Source organism: Homo sapiens, chromosome 11 (assembly GCF_000001405.40).
Source record: "Homo sapiens chromosome 11, GRCh38.p14 Primary Assembly".
NCBI classification, from domain to species: Eukaryota; Metazoa; Chordata; class Mammalia; order Primates; family Hominidae; genus Homo; species Homo sapiens.
In genome coordinates, this window is record NC_000011.10 from 130,767,663 (window position 1) to 130,785,888 (window position 18,226).

At 44.3% G+C, this 18,226-nt stretch overlaps 1 long non-coding RNA gene across 3 annotated transcripts, besides 1 other annotated feature; it reads right to left on the minus strand.

Annotated features, from left to right (window-relative positions):
- Window positions 1–3,735: 3,735 nt before the first annotated feature.
- LOC105369576 (uncharacterized) lies at window positions 3,736–17,810 on the minus strand. 3 transcript variants are annotated; one of them, XR_948197.4, is made up of 4 exons: window positions 17,599–17,810; window positions 16,606–16,717; window positions 13,041–13,160; window positions 3,736–5,441 (listed from the first exon to the last, which is right to left on the minus strand). It is a non-coding gene; the product is annotated as an uncharacterized LOC105369576 (long non-coding RNA). The 3 variants fall into 3 exon arrangements; XR_001748458.2 differs by having other exon boundaries at window positions 9,073–13,160; XR_007062955.1 differs by having other exon boundaries at window positions 9,073–16,717.
- Window positions 14,043–15,242: an enhancer, noted in NCBI's record as "MED14-independent group 3 enhancer chr11:130651600-130652799 (GRCh37/hg19 assembly coordinates)". NCBI's record gives its function as "activates an origin of replication core promoter dependent on BRD2, BRD4, P300/CBP and CDK7 cofactors, and independent of MED14, by STARR-seq in HCT116 cells {active_cell/tissue: HCT116}" and the evidence as "EXISTENCE:reporter gene assay evidence [ECO:0000049][PMID:35650434]".
- Window positions 17,811–18,226: the final 416 nt, after the last annotated feature.

Below are 18,226 nucleotides of genomic sequence, written 5' to 3' on the forward strand. Positions count from 1 at the left end.
TCCCGGTCGTGAGACAACAACCTGGATCTAGTTGAGTTAAGGAGAATAAGAATCCTGCATCAATTCTGATGAGGATCTGAAGGGTTGTTGTGATTGGAAAAAAGAAGTTTACAAAGTACCCATGAAATAATGGCTATTACATGGATTTTTAAAATTCCATTTATGGAACTGCAGGTGCTGGAAATTTTATGATGATGATTGTTACCATTTTCTACTCTTTCACTCTTTTCCAAATCATTTCTGATCAAGATAGAAATTAGCTTTCATGTTATTTAGGGTTCAGTTTACTAAGTTCTTTTTTCCAGTGAGGGTAACGTTCTTTACATGTGAACATAGTAACTTCTACTAGGACAATTCCCTTCTGAATATTTGTGGGGGTTAACACTGAGTATTCATGGGGCAATCATGATTATGATTATAAAGATAATGATAATTTCCACTTATTAGTGTGTGCTAAGCTCTTTTATGTGCTTTTTCATTAACTCTAAAATAATCCTGTACGTATTATTTTCCCTAGTTAACAGATTAGCCACGTCACCCATTTTCTCCAAGCAGCTGATGTCTAGTTTTTCTTGGTCACAGGTTACTGATGCATATGCCAAATCTGTGGATATCATGACATCTTCCCCCTTCTCTACTGTAGATAGCAGGGTGTTTTTTGCCAGCATCCCCCAGCATCATATCTGCCGCCCGCAGAAAGTTTTCGGACCTCTGAGTTCTCCTCATGGGCTGTCAGTCTTGGTCTCTGGGTGTCTTTAGCTCCCTCTGCTCTATGTTCTCCATAAAACAGTTCCTGGAATATCCTACATATTTCCTGCCTACTGCGACTGCTTGTCCCGGAACTCTCAGAGCATGTCCACACATAGGAGGCAGGAAAAACCATCAGATACCACGGTACATGTCCTTAACCAGTTTCACTCCAAGGTTGGGCTTGTAAAAGTTAAGTAATTTTGACCAGTAACTTGAAATTCAAAGCATTTTTATAGCAAAACATTCTATAGAGTAGAATCAAACATTTACATACATTTAAAAAATAAAACAGTCTCGAAGTAGGATGTATCCCCAGACACCAAGGATACCCGTGTGCCCACGTGCTCACTGAGAAGTTCTTGACTGTGATGTTTATTAACACATGTTTCCAGCAGTTGTGTAGGACTTAGAGTGAAGAATAAGGAGAGTCCCTGAGCCCCGCCTAATAGGAGCTGCCAATGTCACAGACAGCTTATGTCTGTCTTATAGGGAACACCTAAATCAAGGCTATTCTATGGGCATCTGTATGAATTTGCTCTGCTACCATAACAAAATACCGCAGACCAGGTGGCCTAAGGAACAGAAATTTATTTCCTTAGAGTTCTGGAGGCTGGAGGTCGAAGACGAGAGTGCTGGCAGGGCTGGTTTCCTCTGAGGCCCTCTGGCTTACAGACGGCCACCTCCTTCAGTGTCTGCATGCGGCCTTCCCTCTGTGCCTGTATCCTGGTGTCTCTTCACGTGTCAAAGTTTCCTCTTTTTATGAGGACACCAGCCGGAATGGATCAGGGCCCAAACCAACGGCCACATTTTAACTTCATTTCCTCTTTAAAGGCCCTGTCTCCAAGTATAGTCACATTCTGGGGTGCTGGGGGTTAGGAATCAAATACACGAATTCTGGGGAACACGATTCAGCTCTAACAGCATCTAAGACAGCTTCACCATTCCTCAAGTGTGCTCTGAAGGAAAAGCAGAAGCCCGCTGTTCACATAGCAGGGTCAGGGTGAGGGTGAGAGTGAAGAGGGGGTTGCAGTGGAGAAGGAGCCGTTCCTGACAGCAGGAGCAGTGCTTTTGTGAGGTGCAAGACCATCATGTGTGGGAGGAAGCTCAAAACTCCGCGTGCTCCTGGAGCCCATTGGGAGGGAGAGGTGGAAAGTTGCAGGAGGTGAAACAGGAGCCATGGCCAAGATCACACCCGGCAGGGCACTGAGCACCGAGCTGGGAGCTGAGAGTGCGTCCTGTGGACTTTCAAGAAGACAGTGCTGCGGTCAGACCTGCATGCTGGAAAGGTGATCCTGGAGACACGGTGAAGCAGGTGTCAGAAAGAGCAAGGCTGGGGACAGGGAGACCTCTTAGATAACGGACAGAAGCCCAAAAATGGATGAGGCTCAGTAGTTCAACTGAAAACATTGTCCTTCAGATCTAAAGTAGTCTCCTTCCAGGGTAAGCGATCCCCACTTCCTTCCTGCACAAAGAGAATCATACTAGCGAATATTTCTCACAAACTTAGCGTGTGCCAGGCCATGATCTAAGTCCTTTACCTGTATGAACTTGTTTATTCTTCTCTGTGATTACTGCCCCATTTACAGATAAAATCAAGGAACATGAGATTAAATGGCCTCTCTAAGGTCATAAAATTAATGAGGGGAAAGCCAGGGCGTAACTCAGGTAGTCTGGCTCTATAGGCCACACGCAATCACTGTGCTGCACTGTCCCTACTAAGCAAATGAGAACCATCTTCCACATACCTGCTCAGCCAGAAGCTGTTGCCATCTTTCCACATTGCCCATCTCCGGGAAATGCAGCTTATTCCCAAGGAACTCTGAGGTTTTGTAATGGATGTCATTAGATAGACTGAGCAACCTGGTTGCAGTCCTCCTCCCACTCACATTCCACTTTCCCTGGAATAAGCTCATCGTCAGTTGCTGTGTATTGGATGCCCTCAGTGTGCTGAGCTCTAGAGGTGAGGGGTAAATAAGCTGTTTGTTTTCTGTCTTAAGAAGCTCACAGTCTAGATGGTGGAGTGCATAGAGAGGCCAGCGACCCCTGCAGAGGGATGAGAAGCAAGTCTGGAATCCTCTGTAGTAGAAAGCTGTATTCAGGGGAATGGTGTTTGGGGGTAAGAAAGGAAAGTCCTTTCTTTTTTAAAGGGATTTCCATCACATGCTCTCAAGACAGCATTACAGGGAGATCACACCCAAAGTGAGGGTGCAATCCTCATAGAACTCATTGCTGGGAAGATGTGGCCAGTGATGAGTTCCGTGAGGACTGAATCCTCACATGGATAAGGCACACGGAAATGTCTAAGGAATATGGCCACATGACAGAGGAGAGAGGACTTCATTCATTCATTCATTCATTCATTCCACAAGCATTATTGATGACTTACTGTGTGCCAGGCAGTGTACTAAGCAGTGCATGAATATCAAATTGAACCATGCTCCAATAATTCACTCCCAGACCCCTGCAGTGGAGACGCCTGTTGTCACCAAATATCAGAGAATTCTTCATTTGTTTCTGACCCTTAGTACCTGCTCAGAAGACAGAGACCTTTTAACAGAATTGGGTTTCATGTTTCTCCCCACGCTGCCAGTGAGCCTTCTTATGTCATAAGAAACAAACTCTCGAGCCGTCCACAGGGAATAGGGGTGGCACTAACATGCTGCCTTGTTACTGACGTTTGAACAGCATTGAGAGGCAAGCAAATCAATGACTTCCTCCTCTGAAGCAAAATCAACTTTAGAGAACTTAAGGCTTCATTGTTACAATGTTTTATTTAGAACCTTCCATCATTACCGACGTCACCCAAAGCCCTAATTGAGGGCTTAATTTCTGGGAACCTTATACTCACCATTGCCTGGAGAAAGTTTTCCTCTTCTATGTGTTTACAATCTGAGGGAGACGAAACTCAGGCAGATAGACGCTAAACGGAAATAGACACAACAAAATAGAGAACACTGGACAAACACAACTAGATAAGGGGAAATATTGCTTTTGTATACCCTTTGTTTATTATGTTGTATCACATTTTACAGAAAGAATTTTGTTCCCATAGACAGAGAGCCATCACTGTATCCTAGGCTCCTGGATTCGGCAGAGATCCAAAGTCCCTGTGGAAGTGTGATGTGGCCTGGGATGTACCCCTGTGGAAAGACTAGAAGGTGTGAAGGCTTCCAGACCTTTGTTGAGGACTTATGAGAAAGTGGGGAGGGAGTAGGGAGGGCTGTCGGCTTCTCTTCCTCCGGAAGGATGGCCCCTGCTGAGACAGGGGGCTGCAGCTGTCACTTTGCAAAGTCCCTTCAGTCCCCCGTCCTTCAAATCGGCAATTTTATGTGTACCTTTTGCAACGGAGACAGTTAACTGACCTCACTTCCCACTGCTATGGCTTGGTGGGAAGGGATGGTTAGGAACAACTGATTCACACATCCCCAGAGGGAAGGAGGTACAGAGAAAAGCTTGCCCCCGCCAACTATTCAGATGTCCACAAAGCAAAACATGCAGATATTTGGAAATAGCTAAATAATCAGTGGACTTGATCCAGTTTCAATTCTCATGCAACAAGTGCCTTTTGCACCGAGCATATCATGCTTATATTTAGTGTCAGGAAGACTTGGCCACAGCTAAGTCTTGGCTCTGTGTGTTTGCACGTGTGTGCATGTGCACGTGTGTGGGTATGTGTGAGTGCATGAGTATGTATGCGAATGTATGTGTGTATATGAGGGAGTATGATTGGGTGTGTGTATGTGGGTTTGTGTGTATTATGTGAGAGTATATATGAGCATGTGTGTTTGTATAAGTATGTGAGTATGTGTATGTATGTGAATTTGTGTGCCACTGCATGTGGGAATGTATGTGTATATGAGTTTACGTGTGTGTGTATGCCTGTGAGTGTATGTGAATGTGCCAGTTTGTGAATGTGAGTGTAGGCATGTGTGAGAGCTTGTGTGTGTGTGTGTGTGTGTGTGTGTGTGTGTGCACGCATGCTCAAACATGTGCCTGCATCTGAAAGCTCTTGCAGAACAGGAGCCTGGATTCCAGCTGGTGACATGGGCAGCATTTCCTGAAATTGCTTCTGACTCACAAGCACTCTAAGACCAGCAAAAATCATACAAAACAATTAAAATATGCAGAAACTTGGGTTTGCTTTCTTTTGGTTAGTTTACATCAGGGAGTTGTTATTGGAGAAGAAATTTGTCTCAAGGTTTCCTGAACACAGCAGAGGCACAGCCTCTGTCCTGACTTGGTGTGACCTTTGCCCCCTTCCTTGCTGGGCTGTATGGGGCCGTGTATGTCAGCTGCAGTCATAACCGATTTCACTCAGAGTTCCAGGTTGCAGAGCTATCTGCCTGACCTCATTGTGGTTTTCATGCCATGGCAAGAATGTCTAATGGAAACCACACTGGGCTGGAAGTCAGGAGTGTTCCTGTGTTCTTGGGTAGATCAACTAAACTGTCCAAGCCTTAGTGTACTCCTGGGTCAACTTGGGATTAGCAGCGTGGGCCTGCTTGCCTCAGGACTGATGAAGAAAGAAGAGAGGAGGGTAGCACACTGAAAGAAGCACTAGCCCTAGTATTTGGTGGTTAGCTTTTGAACCTAACCGGTAAAGTCAAGGGGCTCTACAGGTCAGCTCCTATGGTCTCTGATGTCCAGTCCAAGTTTCCTTCAGTTTCCATGGCTCCTTGCCCTGTAGCCACCTGCAAAGGGAGAGAGAAAGGGAGCATCCTCTCATTTATTGACTGTCCCCATTCATCAATTTAAAAATAACCCTTAATGTTCCACTGTCCCTAAGTAAAATCTGATTTTCCAAATCCCTGAACTTCTATCTTTGCACATTTGCTCCTGCCCTAGCCTTCTGCTCTTCTGCAGGGACTAGCTTGTGTCACACACATCTGAGGCTGGCTTCCACCACCTGGCCTTCAGAAGCAAGCGGCAGTACCTCCCTCCAGGACCCAAGGTCAGGAGCATGTGATCCTGACCCCAGCTGGACGCCCCTCACGACTCCACCCCACAGTCTCAGAAGTTTTCTCATTGGAAGGGAGAGGGAGGCCTAGATCACAGTCAGATCTGAGCAGAGAGGAATTCCTCTGTGAATGCCAATTCAGACTTTCTTTATCCAAAGGCCACACAATGTGAGCATAGATAATCTCTTTGGAAGTTTAGATCAAATAAATAAGAGTCATGTGTAAAGGCTATTCTCTTGTGTCTGTGATGAGAGCCAGAGAATTCCATTGTCACTTCAATGATTCCTTCTTCGTATCTTGGCCATGGCCCTCCTGCCTTGGAAACCCTTTCACCTATCAATAAATATGCACAAAGCACTTCTTTGTGCCAGCTGGTAAGTTGGGTATTGCAGGATACAGGGCTGTCCTCATGGGGTTTCAGTGCAACGTGAAGAAAAGATGTTAAACCAGAACTACAGTAAAATACAATGTGTTGCAAAAGGAGGTGTGCAGCTGGCTTTGGGTATACAGCACAGGGATTTAAACTTCTCTGGGGTCAGGAAAACCTCCCATGGAGTGATAAGTTTAAGTTGAAACTTGAAAGACTTAGGGGGTCAGCTCCAAGATGCATTCCCAGAATAGTGCCTGGCACAGGAAATTCTCCCTAAATATTTGTTGCAGGAATAACAGAGGAGTCAACAAAAGGGGATGATTTTGTGGAGAATATTCCAGGCCAAGGAAATTTCACACTGATGTTTATGTGGCCTGCTCAATGCAGCAAAAGAAGCCCTCATGGCTGCAGTAGAGAGATCAAAGGGAGAACTCCTAGGAGACAAAGATGGAGAGGGAGGCAGAGACCGAAGTGCAGAGGCCTTCAAACTTTATTTTGGAGTTTGGGCTTATTCTTGGGTCATGAGGAGCAAACACAAGCTTTAAGGCACTGTGATACTCGGGTGCTATACACATTAAACGGGGCCTTTTCAAACTGTAATGTGCAATTGAATCACTTGGACATCTTGTTGAAACGTGGACTCTTGATTCAGTAGGTGGGGTCTGGGAATCTGCACCAGTTCTGAGAAAGCCAATGCTACCAGTTCCAGGGAGTACACTTTGAGCAGAAAAAACACAAAATCTTGCATAAATCCTCATAAATCCTGACTTTCCGGTCCCATAACAATCCATATCTCCTCATCACCGTGAATCTGTAAAGTTCTGTCTTTTATTTTGGTACATAGGATAATTAATCCTCAGAACTGGAATAACTCTTAAATTCAAGGCATCTAATCTAAGGAAATGGAGCCTCTGGCTGAGTAAGCCACCACCTATGGTGCCCCCATTTATTAATAGTAGCCGTGGGTCTGGACCCCAGGTTTCCCTGAACGTCAGCTCAGGATTCTTTCTGTTGTGTAAACCTACCTCCCTTTTCCACATGACCTTTCCTCCACTGTGTCCCATCAGGATATGGGTGGAGGTGGCTGTGCCTAGAAACAGGCGATTGGCCCATGTTGGAGAGGATTCTGGATGCCATCCAAGTCCTGGAGGATTCACTGCAGTGCTCGGTGGCCTTGGAGCAAGGCCAGCTCAGAAAGTTTCCCAAGCCCAAATTAGCCACAGCCTGGGATCCACTCATGGTAACTATACTAGGGTCTTTCTCTTTTCTGGCTTCTAATGAGTTCTGGTAGTTTGGCCATTGGATGATGTCCTCTGGGTACCCAGAGTGATGAGTCAATGCTCCTAGTCACCATGGTTGGCCCTAGGAAAATCTGCAGTCATAGGGAGCCACCTGTGTGGAACATGGCAGGGGACATAAAAAATTCCTCCACTGAAAAGTATCACTTGCTTGCTTGTCATGTGGTCCACGGTTCCACCACTGGTTATTCACTCCTTGAGTTAGCACTGCCTCACCTTCTATCTCTTTTTAACAAAAATCTGAGAAGGCGAACTATTAAGTCCTCAACATCCATCAGTTCTTTTTTGCTGACCAGGGAAGGTGTCTTGGCTAAAGAAGGCCCCCCAGGTGGGGATGAGGAATAGAGAAAAGCAGGAAAAGGAGAGGCAGGAGACACCACAGACAGAACTCACTCCCTTCAATACCTTGCCCAGGGCCAGCTCTGATTTTGACCTCCAGATGCTTCCTACTTTTTCTGGCTCCTCATCACAGTTGGTGGTGATGTAAGGAACTGGAGTAACACCAGATTCCAGACTCTGGGTGGAGTTTACAGTAACGATATGAGTAATACCTGATGCTTGCATGCGCCTCTGTATCGCACAGTCAGTGGGAATCGCCTAAAAATCAGGTGTGCCTCTTCTAGGGTGGGACAGGAATGAGCTTAAAGTCAAGGACACAAAGTATAGGATTTTTGAACAGGACAGCAATGAATGACACACTTTGGTAAAGAGAGGCCCACCACAGGCCTTTGAAATGGTGCCCTGCTGCTTTCAAAGCAGTATCTCACTTAGTCTTAACTGTCTCTTAACAACTACCATATCAGGAAGGAAGGAAAATATTCTCCCCGTGGCATAAAGGTCACTGAGAAACTTGTCAAAAATGCACATTTCTGAGTTCCAAAACGGAGATTCTCATGCAGTGGGTTTGGGGTGTGGCCTTGGAATCTGAACCCTTTTATGTAGGGAGTGGGTGAGCCACCTTTTGAGAAGCATTGATTCCTTCATAATAGAGTTTTGGTCTATTACAGGGTAGAAACTGAGACTCATTCCCATCAGTGTCCTTCTCAGTGCTTAGCCTAGTGCTTTGCACATATTTTGTTCTTTACAAATGTTGGCAAAAGTTTAAAGGTCAGGGAAATATTCATAGAAGTAGCATCTGAACAGGGTCTCTAAATGAGAAAAGCCTGGGGTGGAATGCATTCCAGAAGGAAGAAATATCAACAGCAAAGGCATGAACATGGGGTTTTCCAGATGAGAGAGCCCTATTCTTTGATGGAGCACAGAGTATGCATTGGGAAGAATGAAGAGATATGATCACAAAAACACATTAAGATCATGCTGTGCAGGACCTTGAATTTAGGGATTGGTGCAGTTCAGAAGCAATGGGGTCATGTTGAATATCCATGTCTCTGTGTGTTGAGGGTACAAGGTAGGCTGGGATTAATTTGCAAACTATGAAACCACCTTCTTAATGCCAGAGCAAAGCCATTTAGGAGGCTTTTGTGTAGGCTCCAAGCAGCTCCAAAGCCTTGGCATTTCTGCAGCCAATCCCCAGGGAAATCTCTAATTCCCCACTCCCAGTTTTCCTTTACCACCTGAATGGTACGGGGCCCTAAATGTTCATCTCCAGCCCATCTTCTTTAAAAGAGTTTATGCCTCCAGACCTGCCCAAGCCCTCCACCCCACCTGGATGTACCATAAGCACCTTCATACTTACATGCCCCAGTGTAGACCAGTATTTTTCTCCAACCCTCTTCTATTCCTACCCTGGTTTGTGGTAGCCACCTACTCACCTAAATCAGAAACTGTCAGTCATTTTTCACTCATCTTTCACCCTCGTGCATCTGAACAAACAGCCTCAGGATTCCATTTTTCAGATTTGCCCCTTTCCTACCTCTAGGAAGTTTGTGATAGAAATTATAATATTTGCTTTTCTTTTTCATATTTCCATGTACATAATTTCTCCCAGTTTAGCCAGCTACAGCATCTATATCCAAACTGGTGATGGGAAGGAAGTTCTATTATTATAACAGAAAAATGGAGAAAAAGGGGTCAATATTCACAATTTAACTACCAAAATAGGATTGTTGAGTTCCTAAAAAGATTAGTCTCCAAAGAAATTTTTCCTTAAATTTGTTAAAATACCAATAACATATCAAAAGCCAGGGTTGCTGGGGCTAAATATTGAAATTTTTAGCTTTATTGAGGTATAATTGACAAATAAAATTGTGTATCTTTAAGGTATACAACTTCATTTCTATACACACGCACACACACACACACACACACTGAAATGATCACAACAATCAAACTAACACATTCCTTAGCTCACAGTTACCATTTTTGTCTTTTTTCTTTTCTTTTTTGTTTGTTATGATGAGAGCAGGTAAGATGTACCCTCTTGGTAAATCCCAAGTATATAATACAGTATTATTAACTATAGTCACCATGCTGTGCACTGAGTCTCCAGAACTTCTTCATCTTCAGTAACTGAAACTTTGTACTCCTTGACCAACATCTCCCCATTTCCCCTCCTTCCAGCCCTGGCAACCACCGTTCTATTCTCTGTTTCTATAAGTTTGGCTTTTTAAGATTTCACATGTACATGAAGTCATGTGGGGCTTGTCTTTCTGTGCCTGGCTTGTTTCACTTAGCACAATGTCCTCCAGGTTCTTCCATGTTGTTGCCAATGGCAGGATCTCCTTCTTTTTAACGCTGAGTAAGAGCCCACCACTGGGTGTACATGCAGAGAAAATGAGGATCTTGAGAGATAGCGTCAGTCCCATGTTCGTTGCCTTATTTGCAATAGTCAAGACATGGAGACAACCTAAATCTCTGCCAACGAATGAATGGAAAAAGTTTGGTCTATAGAAGCATATTTAATTTACTGTAAGTCAAGTCTAGAGAGATTTCAGGATCCATATCCTAATGGAAGTCCTCAAACCCCAAGAGAGGAGAGAAGGCCCAACTCTGTGGTCCAGTGAGGAATGAAATAGAAAGGAGGCCTGTGACCCACGAGTCCTGCCTTCTTCCCACGGGGCTGAAGCCCAGAGGACAGTGATGCTAGTGCCTCCCAGGGAGGCGTGCAAAGCACAGAGGGTGGGGGCTGCGCAGGCCTCATCAGAGCCCAGGGGTCGGCTGCATGGATGGCTGTGAGCTAGCAGGGGACGGCACGGCGGCATTGCTCCTGAGCGGTCCTCACTCCTGCGGGACATGGGGTGATCTGGGACCCCCTGCACGCCATGGGGCACAGGGTTAGCAGGGTGCAAAAATGGACCATGTGAGTGAGCTCAGAGGGGCCAGGAGCGAGGGATCAGCCGTGGCCACAGGGGTTAAGGCAGGCTGTTCAAATGGAGAGCTCTCTGAGCGGAATGGGTGATGGGCAGTGCAGACGGTTGCCATGAAAGGCAGCTGGGTGCCTTGGGACCAGAGAGTCCGGAGCTCGGAATCAGACCTGCCAGCACTGACCCAAAAGCACTGTGAGGCCGCGAGGTGTCCCATACCACCCCCACTCCCACATCCCTAAACACCTTCTTGGGAGGTGCAAAGCCTCGAAGAGGAAACCTGGAGAGCTGCACCCTGGCCTGAAAGACCCAGTTACCCCAGGGAGCCTGTTGGAACCAGAGGAGACCAAAATGCCCTTTGTCACAACAGAGTATTATTTAGCAATAATAGGAATAAAGAATTGATACATACTACAGCCTGAAAAACTTTGAAAGCAGGAAGTCAAAGAAGCCAGTCACACATACAGAAAACATATTGTGTGAGTCCATTTATATGAAATGTCCAGAATAGGCAATTTATAGAGACAGGAAGTAGACAATTGGTTGCCTTGGTATGGGGGAGGGGAAGGTGGAGGCAGTGACAGCTATGGGTATGGGTTTCTTGTTTCAGGGATAAAAATGTTCTCAGATTGATTGTGGTGATGATTGCACAACTCTGAATATATGAAAAACCATTGAGTTGTATGCCTTCTTCAATAGGTCAGTTGTATGATAGGTAAATTATATCTCAATAAAACTGTTATTTAAAAAAATATGTCATTAATTGACAGTTTGTATGTTTTCCCCATCCCCACTGCTTAGATGGGAGAGAACTTGTGAAGAAGATGAGATCAAGAGCATCTGAACGTGTGGTATTTAATTTCCAATTCTGCCACAATTGCTCCATGCTGACTCTCTTCAGTTTACCGTTTGGTTGGATAGTAAAGATGATTGGGAGAAACATCCTTTGAAATAATTTTGTTCGCATTAAGACTGTTGCTGAGGATATCATTACTTTATACATATCCTCTCTGCGAGGTCTCTCAAGATAAATTTGTTTTGGCTTTAGATTCAGCAATAGTTGTTCTTCTGAACAACTGGTTTACTTTTATCTTCTAAACATTGTGATGTGTGTGAAGGATTCTTCCCTGTTGGTGTTGACTGCTAGAGAGCTGAGAGCCAAATCTGTGATCCCTTCCTTGTCATTATGCACACATACACAGATGCATACACACACACAAATACACATACAGACACACACACATGCATGCATACACATGCACACACACATACCTACATACATAAACACACAAACAACATAATGTGCTAATCTCACTCCTGGCTCCATTTATGTCCCTACCCTTGTTTTCTCTTTGCCTTCTACTTCTAATTTTAAAAAAATCTTGCTCTACCCCGTGCCTATTTACATAAAAATTCTTTCTTGGAAAAAGCAGCACATTAATCCAACCCCCAGAGCATCTCTTGAATGTGTGCCCTCCCCATTTTGCTAGAGCTTTCCTGCATCTTGCTTGTATTGTTGTCGACAGGCTCCCAAGTGTGCTTCCAGACCCTTGTCTTATGTCTCTATACATTCATCCTCCATATCTCTGCTAAAAAGATCTTTTAAAACTTGTCTCTGTTTGTATACCTTAGTGTCACTCCTTTGCTTTTAAAATGCATCTCCAGTTTCTTGGATGAGCACAAGGGCTTCTTCCTCACCCAGGCTGGCCTCTCTCTCCTCTACTAGTCCCTGGACAGCACCAAGCCCCTCACTGCTCCTTGCCGCCTTCTCCTGGCTCTGGGACATGGCTCTTCTCTGCGTGGGATGCCTGCGTCCTCCTTGCTCTCACTGATGCCCTACCTCTGTGGACCTGCTCCCACACTGTGCTCCCAGCATCCCGTAGGGTAGCTTCCACTTCACTGCGATTCCTGGGCCTGTCACAGCTGTAGCTGATGGCTCTTTAGGGCAGGAATGCTGCTCTACTCTTTTGTGTGTCACTGGTCCTTAACAGTGTGTTTGCTTTGTAGCAATGACTGTTGAATTATTTTGTGTATGTTCAAGTTGGTGGCTTATAAATGATATTGCTTTTTCTTCCTCTTCCCTAAATTATAAATAATCTCCCCAGTGCTGAAATCAAATAAAGAGAGATAGAAGATCAACGATGTGGCTGATAACATTAGAGACTGCAGGATGGATGAGTGGCTTTACTCCAAGACCTCATGTTGGCGTGTATTAAGGAACAGTTTGAATTTAGAGAATACCTCTGTTTACTCAGAATCACTTCCTCACACTCCTCAAGGACAGAGATTTTCCTCCAGACTCAGCCTGCAAGGTGGGCCTCGGGCCTGACCCAGTGTGCTCAGCCCATGGAAGCTGAAGCCGGGTGGAACACAGCTGCTTTGTGGGCAGACAGTTACTTACAGAGAGAGAACCATGAATTGCAGTTCTATTCTCAATTTAGCCATCAGGTCACTCCTCCACAAGGTTGGGAGAGAGAGGAGCAGAAGTTACTCTTCTGAAAACATTCAGAGGCAGAAGTATCTATTTTATGGATAAGAGAAGTATGTAAGTCAGGGTCTTATAAGAAAGAGAAAGCATTTCTTGCTGATGTGAACAGAAATGAATATTGGGATATACTGAGCATTACTGTTAATCCTGGTGGGTGGAAAATGGCATGATGGTTATGGTAAAAACAGTCCTTATCAGTTAGAAAGGCACACACACACTGAGATATTTATGGGTGAAATAACATGAGATTTTGGGCTTACTTTAAAGTATTTCAGCAAAAACAAACAAAAAAATGCCCCCAAACAAACAAAAACAAAACAAAGCAAAAAATAAGAAACCAAACCAAACCAAAGAAACAAGACAAGAAAAGAAATGAAAACAAGAAACCAAACAGGTGAGGAGGGGGACAAAAAACAGGTAAAATAATTGGCAAAATATTAATTGTGGAATGGGGTGATAGATACACAGGAGTTCATTATTCTATTCCTTTCAATTTTCTGTATGTTTGGAATTTTCCATAATACAGTTTTATATAAAGGGATTTGGGGCAGCTTAGGGAATCTCTGCGTTGTCAACAAAGCCAGGCTGGGAGGTAAGGCAGCAGGAATGACACCCCAAATCACCCACTGAACTAAAGGCACGATGGCCCCCCACTGCTCACAGCAACCAAGCTGGCCAGAGTGAATGATGAATGCCAGAGTGAATGACAGATGCCACTCTAGATCTGCTACCAACTCTGTGTCCAGAAACCAGACATTATGGTCAACCCTATCCTCCTACAGCCAGAATGGACTTGCTGCAGTCTCTTTCCTTTGGACAGCCAGCTTCTGGAACAAAGCCTTGAGCATCTGCTTCTGACTGGCTGAGCCTGGGTTATGATGCCCTAGTTCCATGCCCTGGGTTGGGGACACAGCACCTGGCAGGCAGGAGGTGGGCTGTGCCTCAAACAGTGAGAGATTCCTCCAAGTTAGGAAGCGATTAAGATCGTATTTTAACAGAAGGATAAATACCCACTGCAAGGAGAAAATGGTTCTCCCAACACTTTGAAGTGTGATAAAAAATTTTATTATGTTTTCATTGTAGGACCTACAGCTATTAACACTTGTACAGTTCTTTGCAGTTTGCAAATGTTTTCACATACATTCTCACCTAATTCTAAGAATATTATGTCTATAGTTTACAGGATCTTCCAAAATTTACACCTCACAACAACTTTATGAGTCAGAACTATCCCCATATTATAGACAAGAAAATTGTGGGGAAGAGAGGCAAAGTGACTCACCAAAATTCCCAGAGCTTTTAAGAGGTGGCCTCAAAAGACAAACCCGGGCCAGGCTGTGTCACATCCCTGTGACATCACCAAACTCTTAGTAATGACTTCCAGTGAAATTGTTAGCATTTATTCTTCTCTATCGCAATCTGACCAAGAACCAAAAATTCATAGATTTCTGTCTCCCTTTGATAATTTTTCTAGACAGCTTTTCTCAGTCTTTTGAGGATTGTCCCAAGCAGACACAAGGGCCAAAAATCTATGAGCAGTTAGAGTTCTGGACAGAGCTGCAAATTTGTATCTTATACTCTCAGGCAATACAGATTACCCGATTCAAGTTAATTGTGGGTGAGATGGTGGCTCTAATAGAAGGCTGGTGAGTTAATTGTAAAAAAATGTGAAGTATGGAATAGGTTTCCAGGCAATTAAGCCTGCAAAGTAAGTTGGTGATACAGGACACTGCTGAGCCCCAACTATGAAAGAAAACCAACCGAGATGATTGCCTGGGACTCACTACAGCCTCCCCAAGAAGTGTTTCTGCAAGGGCACCTGGAAAAGGGATGGAGATCTGCGAAGTGTCAGGGAGGAGTTGCCGCTCTGGATGCAAATAACTGGCCTCAGCACATTCCAAGAGAGAAAGTGGAAAAAAGGAAAAGTGTGACGCTATGTCAAAAGAAGGCATCGGCCCAGCAAGCTCTCCCCTGCTGCTTAATACAGGAAATATCTCCCAAACATCTCCGCTAATCCTCCACCAATACAATGAGAAATGAGCACCTCTGGCAGCTAAGCAGTTATTAAGCTAGGACAAAAAAATATTCCGCCCATAGCAACAGAGCCAAAGATAACAGCAGGGAATAGCCAAGCTGCGGAGAAATGGCAGATAGAAAACATTCAGTCTTGGGAGTCCCCCAAAGCAACTGACGTGTGAGTAAAAGAAAGGGCCTCATTTTGCCCAAGAAGCTCAGCGGTGGATTGTAAATGTCAGGACTCAGTGTTTAGCCACGGCCATGCTGAACTCAGCTGCATGAACTAGAGTCATAGGTTGTAGAAATGACAGGCAGTCCTGAAATTGGGCAGCACTTGAGGCTTTTTGAGCTGGTCACCGGCCTGTTGATGAAACATACATGCGAGGCAGGAGAATACCAAAACTGCATTCCACATTTGCAACACAGAGATTCTTGAACACTGTTCCTGGATAAAGACTTCAGGGATAGAGGGAGATTTGCTTTCCAGTCAAGATTTCTCCAAAATACTTCCTTTCTTATTAAAGGAAGTATTAAACTCTCCCAATGTTTTTCCTAGTTCTCTGTCCATGCTGGGAGGGAACCTTTCCTAGGTATACAGTCTCTCACCATTACCTTGTAGCTACTGATTGTCTTCATTCAAGAGGAGCAATTTCATCTGCCATTTAAGAAAGAGGTGGGTTCCTGCCTCAGGCTTTTGTAGACAGCAGCAGAGGCAGCTGGTGAGAGGCGGAGCCAGGGCCCAGACTCAGGGGAAAATGAACTCAAAAATTAACTTTCTATAACCTTTTACTATTTAAAAAATACTTATGTGTTCTTTGAGCAAACTTGTTAGAGAGTAATAGAATTTTACTGTTTAAAGGACTTTGGAGGTAATCCAACAGGTTTATTTTACAGAAGGGAAGCCGAGGCTGGAAGTATAAAATTATTTCTTCAAGATGGGCCTAGACCCATTCTCCTGCCTCTGGGTCAGTGCTTCTTCCATTCACTGCCTCATCCTACCTAGACCCCGCCTTGATCTGGGAAATATGGACACCAGATGGTTTTTATGTTAGAGTTCTTTTAGGAAGAAAGTAAAAAATATTCCACATCTTGGCAAACTCTACCAATTTTATGGCTTCATTGGCCCGTAGCAAAATTATCCAAGTTCCTTTAATTTATCCTTGCAAAGTTTTAGAATTTTTATTAATTTTAATTTTTAAAAATTATCCCAGTGTAGTTCTGTATGGAAGTGAAATGTCGGCTGTTCACGTTAATTCCAAATCCACCCACTTCTGTCCCCGTGCGAGCACTCTCCCTGATCACCCCTCTTTTCTTCCTCCTCTGAGAGGAATTGTCCATAGGATGACAAAACTGTAGGCTGGAAAATACAACGTACTATTCATTGCTGGTTGACTGATACACCACAAATGACCCTCAAACCACCTGACTCCACCTATGCTCTCCAAATGGAAACTGAACCAACCTGCTTTGGCCCCATAGTGAAGATCCCACCAGGTCTTCCCTGCACATACTGAAGAATGTAGGCTGTGGACCATGAGCAAATTACATATTCTCCTTCACCTCAGTTTCCTCATCTGTAAAACAGGGATTAAATAGCACCTCCTTCAAGGGTAATGAGGGGTAAAGGAAGATTTAATGGGACAATCCATTTAAAGGGTCTCAGAAGACTGGCACATAGTAAATGGTAACTATCATTATTCCTGCAACTACTGAACTCCAAAAAAAAAAAAAAAAAAAAAAAGGAAAAAAATGGGAACATTAAATTCTTGCAAACAGCCTGGTCCATTCTTACCTTTAAGGATATTGACTTATCTCCAGATTTCAAATTGTTAGGGATAAGTGTATAAACTTTTAATCAGTTGCTTTCCCTCAAACTCCAATTTCAACCTTGTGTGCATGGAAAGGGGCCAGCAAGTATGCTGAGAGTATTTCTCTCCCTTTACTTAAACCCTAGGAACGCTCCGATTTCTCCACTCATCTGGATCAATGTGTAGAAACATCTCTTCACCCTTAAGTGTAAGTTTAGCCAAGACTTCCATTAACATTTTTCAAGAGGATAACACAGACACACACACACACACACACACACACACACACACACACACACGAACCTGGAAATAACTGAGCAAAAGTAGTTCAAGTTTCTTAGATTATACTCACCAATTATTGGTTGCCACCGCTCAAAAAGTACCCTGCCCTTACCTTGCCGTCCTTGACACAACCTGCTTAAATGGCAAAGTCTTATAACCCATGGCAGGCTTGGGCTGGCCCAGCTGCCGAGTGTGGTAGGAATTCTAACCCTCCCGCTGGACTCTTTCCCGAAGCCCTTTCTCCAGCTGGGGGCTGTCATCCGTCGTCTCAGACCTGGACTCCCAAGCCTCCCCTGTCCTGGTCCCTCAGGTGAGTGGGACACTTTCTGACTGTCTCTGGGCTTTAGGCTAGCCCCTCCCTTTACCTCTCTCCTGGAGATTTCCATGGTTCCAGTTCTACCTTTGCTGTTGATTCTTTCTTCTCTGCCTGTTTTACTGCTGTGCAGTTTTATTTGGCAGAAGCATGTACATCAGCTGAAGTTAACACTGGTTCTACCCTTCTCTACAGTTCCTAGTCTTCATCCATCTCTTAACATGGCATTTGGGTCTGGCCTTTGTGACAGCCGCTTCTTTCTCTAGGGTTGCTTGTCTTACATCACTGCCTTTCAAACCTTGAGTTTCCATTAGGACCACCCATTGGGTTCTTGTTTCCTGTGACCTAATTTGTTGTGAGCTAATCTGCCGGGAGCTGATTTGCTTAACAGAAATGATTGATACCTCCTTTGTCCAATAACTGTTCAAGCCTCTCCTGCTTCTGTTTTTAGCACTCCCCCTTCCTCAAATTCCCTTTGTTGACTCATTCCTCTAGAGGCTTTAAGGATCTTCCAGAATTCTGACATCAGTTTAGCAGAATCAAACACATTATGCATATACTATATTTTCCACATATAGTAGATGGAAAAAGACACCATTTGCAAGTAAAGAATCACATTTCTTGCGGCTAGGAAGCACTTGGTTAGACAAGAGAGGTGATTTATTTACTTCTTCTATGGT